Genomic DNA, 12,985 nt, shown 5'->3' on the forward strand with positions numbered 1-12,985 from the left:
TCAATAGATGCAGAAAAGGCCTTTGACAAAATTCAACAGCCCCTCATGCTAAAAAGTCGCAATAAATTAGGTATTGGTGGGATGTATCTCAAAATAATAAGAGCTATCTATGACAAACCCACAGCCAATATCATAATGAATGGGCAAAAACTGGAAGCATTCCCTTTGAAAACTGGCACAAGACAGGGATGCCCTCTCTCACCATTCCTATTCAACATAGTGTTGGAAGTTCTGGCCAGGGCAATAAGGCAGGAGAAAGAAATAAAGGGCATTCAATTAGGAAAAGAGGAAGTCAAATTGTCCCTGTTTGCAGATGACATGATTGTATATCTAGGGAACCCCATCATCTCAACCCCAAATCTCCTTAAGCTGATAGGCAACTTCAGCAATGTCTCAGGATACAAAATCAATGTGCAAAAATCACAAGCATTCTTATACACCAATAACAGACAAACAGAGAGCCAAATCATGAGTGAACTCTCATTCACAATTGCTTCAAAGAGAATAAAATACCTAGGAATCCAACTTACAAGGGATGTGAAGGACCTCTTCAGGGAGAACTACAAACCACTGCTCAATGAAATAAAAGAGGATACAAACAAATGGAGGAACATTCCATGCTTATGGTTAGGAAGAATCAATATTGTGAAAATGGCCATACTGCCCAAGGCAATTTATTGATTCAATGCCATCACCATCAAGCTACCAATGAGTTTATTCACAGCATTGGAAAAAACTACTTTAAAGTTCATATGGAACCAAAAAAGACCCCACATTTCCAAGTCAATCCTAAGCCAAAAGAACAAAGCTGGAGGCATCATGCTACCTGACTTCAAAATATACTACAAGGCTACAGTAACCAAAACAGCATGGTACTGGTACTAAAACAGAGATATAGACCAATGGAACAGAACAGAGCCCTCAGAAATGATGCTGCATAGCTACAATCATCTGATATTTGACAAACCTGACAAAAACAAGCAATGGGGAAAGGATTCCCTATTTAATAAATGGTGCTAGGAAAACTCTCTAGCCATATGTAGAAAGCTGAAACTGGATCCCTTCCTTACACCTTATACAAAAATTAATTCAAGATGGATTAAAGACTTACATGTTAGACCTAAAACCATAAAAACCCTAGAAGAAAACCTAGGCAATACCATTCAGGACATAGGCATGGGCAACGACTTCATGTCTAAAACACCAAAAGCAATGGCAACAAAAGCCAAAATTGACAAATGGGATCTAATTAAACTAAAGAGCTTCTGCACAGCAAAAGAAACTACCATCAGAGTGAACAGGCAACTTACAGAATGGGAGAAAATTTTTGCAACCTACTCATCTGACAAAGGACTAATATCCAGAATCTACAATGAACTCAAACAAATTTACAAGAAAAAAACAAACAACGCCATCAAAAAGTGGGCAAAGGATATGAACAGACACTTCTCAAAAGAAGACATTTATACAGCCAAAAGACACATGAAAAAATGCTCATCATCACTGGCCATCAGAGAAATGCAAATCAAAACCACAATGAGATACCATCTCACACCAGTTAGAATGGCGATCATTAAAAAGTCAGGAAACAACAGGTGCTGGAGAGGATGTGGAGAAATAGGAACACGTTTACACTGTTGGTGGGACTGTAAACTAGTTCAACCATTGTGCAAGTTGGTGTGGCGATTCCTCAATGATCTAGAACTAGAAATACAATTTAACCCAGCCATCTCCTTACTGGGTATATAGCCAAAGGATTATAAATCATGCTGCTGTAAAGACACATGCACATGTATGTTTATTGTGGCACTATTCACAATAGCAACGACTTGGAACCAAGCCAAATGTCCAACAATGATGGACTGGATTAAGAAAATGTGACAGATATACACAATGGAATACTATGCAGCCATAAGAAATGATGAGTTCATATCCTTTGTAGGGACATGGTTGAAGCTGGAAACTGTCATTCTCAGCAAACTATCGCAAGGACAAAAAACCAAACACTGCATGGTCTCACTCACAGGTGGGAATTGAACAATGAGAACACATGGACACAGGCAGGGGAACATCACACACTAGTGCCTGCTGTGCCGTGGAGGGAGGGGGGAGTGATAGCATTTGGAGATATACCTAATGCTAAATGACGAGTTAATGGGTGCAGCACACCAACATGGCACATGTATACATATGTAACTAACCTGCACATTGTGCCCATGTACCCTAAAACTTAAAGTACAATAAAAAAAAAAGTCTACAGTAACCAAAACAACATGGTCCTGGTACCAAAACAGAGATATAGATCAATGGAACAGAATAGGGCCCTCAGAAATAATACCACACATCTACAACCATCTGATCTTTGACAAATCTGACAAAAACAAGAAACGGGGAAAGGATTCCCTATTTAATAAATGGTGCTGGAAAAACTGGTAAGCCATATGTAGAAAGCTGAAACTGGATTCCTTCTTTACACCTTATACAGACATTAATTCAAGATGGATTAAAGACTTAAATGTTAGACCTAAAGCCATAAAAACCCTAGAAGAAAACCTAGGCAATACCATTCAGGACATAGGCGTGGGCAAGGACTTCATGTCTAAAACACCAAAAGCAATGGCAACAGAAGCCAAAATCGACAAATGGGATCTATTTAAACTAAAGACCTTCTGTACAGCAAAAGAAACTACCATCAGAGTGAACAGGCAACCTACAGAATGGGAGAAAATTTTTACAATCTACCCATCTGACAAAGGGCTAATATCCAGAATCTACAATGAACTTAAACAAATTTACAAGAAAAAATCAAACAACCCCATCAAAAATTGGGCAAAGGATATGAACAGATACTTCTCAAAAGAAGACTTTTATGCAGCCAAAAGACACATGAAAAAATGCTCATCATCACTGGCCATCAGAGAAATGCAAATCAAAACCACAATGAGATACCATCTCACACCAGTAGAATGGCGATCATTAAAAAGTCAGGAAACAACAGGTGCTGGAGAGGATGTGGAGAAATTGGAATGCATTTATACTGTTGGTGGGACTGTAAACTAGTTCAACCATTGTGGAAGACAGTGTGGCCATTCCTCAAGGATCTGGAACTAGAAATACAATTTGACCCAGCCATCCCATTACTGGGCATATACCCAAAGGATTATGAATCATGCTGCTATAAAGACACATGCACAGATATGTTTATAGCAGCACTATTCACAATAGCAAAGACTGGGAACCAACTCAAATGTCCATCAGTGATAGACTGGATTAAGAAAATATGGCAGATATACACCATGGAATACTATGAAGCCATAAAAAAGGATGAGTTCATGTCCTTTGTAGAGACATGGATGAAGCTAGAAACCATCATTCTCAGCAAACTATTGCCAGGACAGAAAACCAAACACCACATGTTCTCACTCATAGGTGGGAATTGTACAATGAGAACACTTGGACACATGTTGGGGAATATCACACAATGGGGCCTGTCATGGGGTGGGGGGAGTGGGGAGGGATAGCATTAGGAGACATACCTAATGTAAAAGACGAGTTAATGGTTACAGCACACCAACATGGGACGTGTGTGCATATGTAACAAACCTGCACATTGTGCACAAGTACCCTAGAACTTAAAGTATAATAATAATAATAATAATAATTTAAAAAAATGAAGAGCACCAGAGAAGAAATAAGTGAAAGTAAAATAAAACATCACTATACCTTGAAAAGAAAAGAACCATTGCTGGGGAACTAGAGTGGTTGTTTGGAGGTAGAAGACACTCTGGCTTTTGGAGTTGCCAGAGTTCTTGCTCTGGTTCTTTCTCATCTGTGTGGGCTGATGTTCCTTCAATATTTGAAGTTACTGTCTTTTGTGTGACTTTTTTTTTTTTTTTGCTTTTATCTTCTTTGATGTCCTTGGGGGGTTTGATTGTTGTACAAGGTAGGTTCAGTTGACTAGCTGAACTAGACAAACAAAGGTGTGATGGACGGCACCTGGAAAATTGGGTCACTCCCACCCTAATACTGTGCTTCTCCAATGGTCTTAGCAAACGGCACACCTGGAGATTATATTCCATGCCTGGCTCAGAGGGTCCCATGTCTATGGAGCCTCACTCATTGCTAGCACAGCAGTCTGAGATCGAACTGCAAGGTGGCATCGAGGCTGGGGGAGAGGCACCCACCATTGCTGAGTCTTGAGTAGGTAAACAAAGCAGCCAGGAAGCTCAAACTGGGTGGAGCCCACCACAGCTCAAGGAGGCATGCCTGCCTCTGTAGACTCCACCTCTGGGGGCAGGGCATAGCTGAACAAAAGGCAGCAGAAAACTCTGCAGACTTAAATGTCTCTATCTGACAGCTTTGAAGAGAGTAGTGGTTCTCCCAGCACGGAGTTTGAGATCTGAGAACGGACAGACTGCCTCCTCAAGTGGGTCCCTGACCCCCGAGTAGCCTATCTGGGAGGCTTCATTTCTGGGAGATTTTAGGGTGCCAAGACTCAGCTCAGCACTCCTGGGTTACAGGCTCTAACTCTCAGGGACTAGTATCTGGCTCCCAGCTTTGTTCTCCTACCCTTTGAGGTTAGGAACGTGCTATGCTGATGGTAGTATAACTGTTTCCGATTGTATCCTGTTATAATGAGAGCAGATTTTTATTGAATTCGTGCAAATAACCATATTACCATAGAAATACTCATGAATAGTTTCCCAATTTTGGAGGGATCAAGTAGGGGCAAAAGGTAAAAATTTCTACCTTTATTCACAAAAGTGTACTTTACCAAATTGCTATAAACTATAAATAGCTGAAAAGTTTCCTTAAATCTGAAAAGCAAAACATTAAAGAATCAACAAGGTTTCAAATAAGTCATAAAAATATCATCTTTATCAGTTATTTGATCTCACATAATTATTTTTTTTTCCTGTGGTGGGCTATCATGATGAATATTTACTTAATTTTCATTCTGCTCGATTTGAGTTAGAAGTTGTACAAATCCATCAGTTTCTTCATTAGAGCCAGGTCTGTGCTATAGGTAATATTACATGCTTTACCTGAATAAATTCCTCTGGGAAAGCTGAGACCCATATATTCAAAATAAGAAAATGGGCCACATGGTTACACGTCTCACTTAATTCCCTATGGTCATTTGATTTTTCAATTGGTTGCCTTTAAACCTAGGTCCATGGCTTAAAACTATTTTACAAACTGAGATTATCATGCTACTATTAATTACTTTGTATTTTCCTTTTTGTGTTTTTACCTGTAACTTGTTAAATTTCTGCAGAAGTGCAATTCCTAACAGAAGAATGCTGGCCCAGCACTTTGAGATTATAGCCATTATCTACAGAACAGACAAAATTAAACTTAACAGTAAACTCCAGGCAGACAGCCTGGGGACCACTTTTCTGAAACTTCTTTGTTGCCCAGATGTGGCTAAAAGAGTTTTGGCACTGACTCCTAGTCACCGATCACTTCTTTCCAATATGGGACCAGTCCAAATCGAATAGGGACAGCTTCATCTCAGCACCAAGAGATCTCAGTATTTATCTAAATGAGTTGAAAACTTATTTCTACACAAAAACCCGCACATGGGTGATTTTAACAACTTTTTGTCATTGCCAAATACTGGAAGCAACCAATATGTTTTTCAATAGGTGAATAAACATGGTGTTAAATCCATGCAATGGAATATTGCTTATTGTTAAAAAGAAATGAGCTGTCAAGCCATGAAAAGACATAGGAGAAACATGCATACCAGTAACTAAAATAAACTAACCTGAAAAAGCTATATACTGTGTGATTCCAACTATATGACATACTGGAAAAGGCAAAACAATGATGACACTAAAATTTTTGCCAAGGGCTTGGGGAAAGAGAGGAATGAATAGGCAGAGCACAGAGGACTTTTAGGGGATTGAAGCTATTCTATATGATACTAACATGCTGGATACATATCATACATTAGTCAAAGCCCATTGAATGTACAACACAAAGAGTGAACCCTATATAAGCTGGACTTTGTTGATGGTGATGTGTCAATATTGGTCTATTGATTGTAGCTATGAAACCTCATTGCTGAGAGTAACTAATTGTTGGGGAGGTTATCTGTGGGTGAGAGGAGGGAGTATGTGGGAACTGTGTACTTTCCACTTAGTTCTGCTGGGAATCCAAAACAATCCTAAAAAATAAATTCTACTAATTAAAAAATCCCCACTGTAATCCACAATTCTAGCCAAGCTGTGGAGGGCTTAATGCTGATACTCTTCTGATCATTTTGATTGAGATGTGTGTTTTACAGGATGCGATGTGGGATGTCATTAAACTGGGAGTTGAAAAGCTGAAATTTTAACACACTTTTGCATTGGTGGCTCTTTATCTCATTGGGTCAGCAAATGCTCATTCCTAAAAAAAAAAAAATCAAAATTAGAGGTCCCTCCTATCTTTAACTTATCTATGATTCTTTCATTCTATCAATAGAAAGGTCTAAGCAGGAGACTCATTTCATCAAAAGGTAGGAAGGCAAATCAGGGACATTCACTTCTCAAGGAATAAAATGATTGCTGTAAAGAGAGCAATTGACCTTATTTTATCAAAAATAAGATGGTGTAGTTCTTCTAGAATTTGTAGGTATGGGAGTTAGGTAGTAACTCTTCACCCTGGGTGTAGAATTAACCAAGATCTAGACTCACTCAAGTAATAAAGGTTGTATAAAACTACACTCTCTGACTCCCATTTTAGTTGATTGGCACTGTAATTATTAACTAAATTAATATTTATTTTGCAAGTCACTCATTAGGCTGAATCGTGAAATATTGAAACACAGCACACAATCAGTCAATGTTAGCAAACCCAGTTGAATTGAATGTTTTATTTGGGAGAAAGGATGCAAGACTCAGAGGTTATGGGTTCCATAGCACCTGTAGACACCATGTCCTTGGTCAATACACTGAATTTCTGAGGCCCAGCTTCCTCATCCCTAAAATGAGAGTAGGCAAAAGTAATTGAGAGAATAATGGGAGTATGATGGGTATGAAAATTACATTATAGGTACTTATATTTATGGGGTACATTTGATGTTTTGATACAGGCATACAATGTGTAATAATCACATCAGAGTAATTGGGGTCATGTTATGTGCCTACTGGTGGTAGGTACATTCCAATTCCAATCTTTTAGTTATTTTCAAATATACAATAAATCATCATTGATTGTAGTCACCCTACTGTGCTTTCAAATACTGGGTCTTATTCATTATATGTAACTATATTTTTACACTCACTAACCATCCCCACCTATATCCCCCAATTTCTGCTAACCTTCTCAGCCTCTGGAAACCATCATTCTACTATCTCCATGAATTCAATTGTTTTAACTTTTAGCTCCCACATATGAGTGAACATATATTTGTATTTCTGTGCCTGGCTTATTTCATTTAACACAATATCTTCCAGTTACATCCATGTTGTTGCAAATAACAGGATGTCATTCTTTCGTTATGACCGAATAATATTCTATTGTATAAATGTACCACATTCTTTTTATCCATTTATCTGTTGAACACACTCCAAATCTTGGCTATTATAAATAGTGCTGCAATAAACATGGGAATGCAGGTATCTCTTCAATATACTGATTTTCTTTCTTTTGAGTATATATCTAGCAGGGGGATTGCTGCATAATATCGTAGTTCTATTTTTAGTTTTTGAGGAACCTCCATACTAGGTTGCTAAAATGTTTTCTATAGAGATTGTACTAATTTACATGCCCACCAACAATGTACAAGTGTTCTCTTTTATACACATCCTTGCCAGCATCAATTATTGCCTATCTTTTGGATAAAAGCCATTTTAAGTGGGTTGAGTTTTAATGATGTTGAGTATTTTTATATATCTGTTTTCCATTTGTGTGTCTTCTTTTGAGAAATTTCTATTCAAATCTTTGGCCCATTTAAAAAATAGAATTATTAGATTTTTTTCCCTATTGAGTTGTTTGAGCTCCTTACATATTCTGGTTATTAATCTTTTGTTAGATGGATAGTGTGTAAATATTTTCTCCAATTCTGTGGGTTGTTGCTTCACTTCATTGAATTTTTGCTTTGCAGAATCTTTTCAAACTTAATATGATCCCATTTGTCCATTTTTGCTTTGGTAGTCTGTGCTTTTGAGGTATTACTCAAGAAATTTTTGCCAAGATCAATGTCCTGGAGAGTTTCCTTGATACTTTCTTTTAGTAGTTTCATAGTTTGAGATCTTAGATTTAAGTCTTCAATTTATTTTAATTTGATTTTTGTATATGATGAGCGATACGGGTCCAGCTTCATTTTTCTGCATATAGAAGTCCAGTTTTCTCTGCACCATTTATTGAAGAAACTATCCTTTCGCCAGTGTATGTTCTTGGCAATTTTGTGAAAAATGAGTTCATTTTAGGTGAGTGGATTTATTTCTGGGTTCTCTATTCTGTTCCATTGGCTATGTATCTGTTTTAATGCCAGTACCATGCTGTTCTGATTACTATAGCTCTGTACTATAATTTGAAGTCAGGTAATATGATTCCTTCAGTTTTGTTCTTTTGGCTTTGGATAGCTTTTTCTATTCTGGGTTTTTTTTCATTCCCTATGAATTATAAGATTTGTTTTTCTATTTCTGTGAAAAATGTCATTGGTGTTTTGATGGGGATTACACTGAATATATGAAGTGCTTAGGATAGTATGAACATTTTAACAGTATTAATTCTTCCAGTCCATCAACATGGAATATCTTTCCATTTTTTGGTGTTCTCTTCAATTTCTTTTATCAATGTTTTATAGTTTTCATTGTAGAGATCTTTGGTTAAGTTATTCCTAGGTATTTTATTTTGTGTGTAGCTACTGTAATGGAATTACTTCCTCTATTTCTTTTTCAAATTGTTCATTGTTGGCATATAGAAATGCTACTGATTTTTGTATGTAGGTTTTTTATCCTGCAACTTTACCGAATTTGTCAGTTCTAATAATTTTCTTGAGAAGTTTCTAGACTTTTCCAAATATAAGATTATATCATCTGCAAACAAGAGTAATTTGACTTCTTCCCTTCCAATTTGGATGCCCTTTATATCTTTCTGTTGTCTGACTGCTCTAGCTAGGACTTCCAGTAATATGTTGAATAGCAGTGGTGACAAGTAGGCATCTTTGTCATGTTCCAGGTCATAGAGGAAAGGCTTTCAGTTTTCCCCATTCAGTATGATACTAACAGGGGTCTATCATATATGGCTTTTATTATGTCGAGGTATGTTCCTTCTATCCCGAGTTTTTTGAGGGCTTTTATCATGAAGGAATGTTGAATTGTATTAAATGCTTTTTCAGCATCAATTGAAATAATCATATTGTTCTCATCCTTCATTCTATTGGTATATCACATTGCCTAATCTGTGTATATTAAACCATCCTTGCATCCCAGTGATAAATCCCACTTAGTCATGATACATGATCTTTCTAATGTGTTGTTGATTTTGGTTTGCTAGTATTTTTTGAGGATATTTGCATCAATATTTATCAGAGATATTAGCCTGTAATTTTCTTTTTTTTGTCTGGTTTTGGTGTCAGGGTAATACTGGCCTTGTAGAATGAGTTTGGGAGTATTTCCTCCTCCTCTATTTTTTGGAATAGTTTGAGTAGGATTGGTATTATTCTCTTTAAATGTTTGCTAGAATTCAGCAGTGAAGCCATTAGGTCCTTGGTTTTCTTAACTGAGAGACTTTTTCTTAAGACTTTGATCTTGTTGCTTGTTAGTAGTCTGTTCAGGTTTTGGATTTCTTCATGATTCAATCTTGGTAGGTTGTATATGTCTAGAAAATTGTCAATTTCTTCCAGATTTTCCAATTTATTGGCATGTAGTTGCTCATAGTAGCCACTAATGATCCTTTGAATTTCTGCAGTATCAGTTGTAATATCTCCTTTTTCATCTCTGATTTATTTGTATTCTCTCTCCCTTTTTCTTAATCTGGCAAAAGGTTTGTCAATTTTGTTTAACTTTTCAAAAAACAAATGTCTTGTTTCATTGATCTTTTGTATTGTTTTTAAATTTCAATTTTATTTATTTCCTCTTTGATCTTTATGATTTCTTTTTTTCTGCTAATGTTGGGTTTGGTTTGCTGTTGCTTTACTTATTTTTTAAGATGCATCATTAGATTGCTTATCTGAAGTTTTTCCTGTTTTGTGATGTAAGCAGTTATAGTTGTAAACTCCCTCTTTGTACTACTTTTGCTGCATTCCATAGGTTTTCATATGTTGTGTTTCCACTGTTATTTTTTTCTATAATTTTTTCAATTTCCATCTTAATTTCTTCATTCACCCACTGGTCATTCAGGAGTGTATTGTTTAATTTCCATGTATTTGTACAGTTTCCAATATTTTTGTTATTGATTTCTAGTTTGTGTTTTTTTTTCCTTTTTGAGATGGAGTTTTGCTCTTGTTGCCAAGGCTGGAGTGCAATGGTGTGATCTTGGCTCACCACAACCTCTGCCTCCCAAGTTCAAGTGATTCTCCTGCCTCAGCTTCCTGAGTAGCTGGGATTATGGGCATGCACCACTACATCTGGCTAATTTTTTTAATTTTTAGTAAAGATGGAGTTTCTTCATGTTGGTCGGACTGGTCTCAAACTCCTGACCTCAGGTTATCCACCCACCTCAGCCTCCCAAAATGTTGGGATTACAGGCGTGAGCCAAAGAACCCAGCTGATTTCTAGTTTTATTCCATTGTAGTCAGAGAAGATGTTTGATACTATTTCAATTTTTGTGCCTATGTGTGAGAGGAAAACATTTTGTTTCTGCCTATCTAGGACATGGAGCTGGTGCAGCCCAGTTGCCCTTTGCAGAGATATCAGTGAATCTTACCAGGAGCTCCTCTCACCCATACTCATCAAATCCCATGCCTGTGCTCATCACTGAGGTATTTATGGGCAAGCCAGCTTTGCCCAGCTGTGGCCCTGCATCCCCACAGAACAGGAAGCTCAGGGAACTGGGCACTCCAATGTCCAGCCTATCACCTGAAACAACAGAGAACATCTCACAGTAAACAAAGATCCACTACATACCCATCTGCTTGTGCCACAGCTGGTTCTTACCTGTAAGTGCCATCTACTTGCTTGTAAGTTGAGTCAGACAGTTTAATATAAAATCTGCTGACAGAGAGAATAAGGCTATAGAAGAAAATCCAAAAGAACTTACCCAATATACTCTACAGTCACACCCCATAGGAAGGGAGAGAAGGATAAAGGAAAAGAAATAATAAGAAAAGGAAAAATTCTATCCACAGAAAATAATTTCAAAAATTTAAAGTGGCATCCTCTCCACATGAGAAGGAACCATCATGAGAATTCTGATATTATGAAATATCTGAATTTGTAAACCATCAAAAGATCTTGCTAGCTCTCCAGAAATGAACCCTAACCAAAATGGGAACTCAGAAATGACATATAAAGAATTCAAAATATAGATTGCAAGGAAGATCAATGAGATTCACGACAAGTTGAAAATCAACACAAAGGAACTACTAAAGCAACCGGGGAAATGAAGAAAAAGATAAACATCTTTAAAAAATCAATCAAAATTCTGGAATTGAAAAATTCACTTAAAGAATTTCAGAATACAATGGAAAGATTTACCAAGAGACTGGATCAAGCAGAAGAAAGAATTTCAGAGTCTGAAGACCAGTCTTTTGAACTAACCCAGTCAGAGAGAAATAAAGAAAAAGAATTTTAGAAAATGAAGAAAGCTTTGAGAAATATGTGATTATGTCTAGCAATGAAACCTATGAATTATTGGCATTCCTGAGAGAGAAGATAAAGTAAACCACATGGAAAACATATTTGAGGGAATACTTCAAAAATTTTTTTCAAGAAAAAAAAGCAACAAAGTCTCAACGACAGCACATCAGTATGCATCATAATTTACTGAATATCTTAAGACCACTTTTGAGATCTACCACTCAGAAAAAAATTCTTTTGAAAATATTACTGCTCCTTGACAATGCTCCTAATCATGGCACCCATGAGCTCTGATGGAGATGGATCAGGAGATGTTCTTTTCATTACTGATGACACAACATTTATTCTGCAGTCATGAATCAAGTAGTAAATTCAACTTGTAAGTCTTATTATTTGATAAGTACATTTCAGAAGGCTATACCTACCAGAGATACTGATTCCTCTGGTTAATGTGGGCAAAGTAAATTAAAAACATTTTGAAAAAGATTAAGAACATTTGTAATTCATGGGAGGATTTAAACTATCAATATTAACCTGAGTTGGAAGAAATTGATCCCAACCATCATAGATGACTTGGAGGGGTTCAAGACTTCAGTAAAGAAAGTAAATGCAGATGTGGTGGAAATAGTAAGAAAATTAGAAGTGGAGGTTGAAAACGTGACTAAATTGCTGCAATCTTATGATCAAACTCTACTGGATGAGAAGTTACTTGCTTCTTACAGATAAGCAGTGAAATTGTTTCCTTGACAATGAATCTACTACTGTTGAACATTGTTAAAATGACAAAAAAGGGTTTAAAATATTACATAAACTTTGTTGGTGAAGAAGCAGTGAGATTTCAGAGGATTGATTCCAATTTTGGAAGAAGTTTTACTGTGGATGAAAAGTTATCAAACAGCATCACATGCTATAGAAAAATCTTTCATAAAAGGAAGAGTCAATTAATGTGGCAAGCTTCATTGTTGTCTTATTTTAAGAAATTTTCACAGCCACTCAAAGATTCAGCAAGCACTACCATGATCAGTCAGCAACCAACACTGAGGTAAGACCCTCCACTAGCAACAAGATTATGACTTGCTGAAGACTCTAATGATCACTAGCATTTTGTAGTCATAAAGTATTTTAAAATTGTTATGCACACTTTTTAGATGTAACGCTATTGCACACTTAGTGTAAATATAACTTTTATACATACTAGGAAACCAAAAAATTCATGTGTCCTGCTCTATTGAAATATTTGCATTATTGTG

Source organism: Homo sapiens, chromosome 10 (assembly GCF_000001405.40).
Source record: "Homo sapiens chromosome 10, GRCh38.p14 Primary Assembly".
Lineage (NCBI taxonomy): Eukaryota > Metazoa > Chordata > Mammalia > Primates > Hominidae > Homo > Homo sapiens.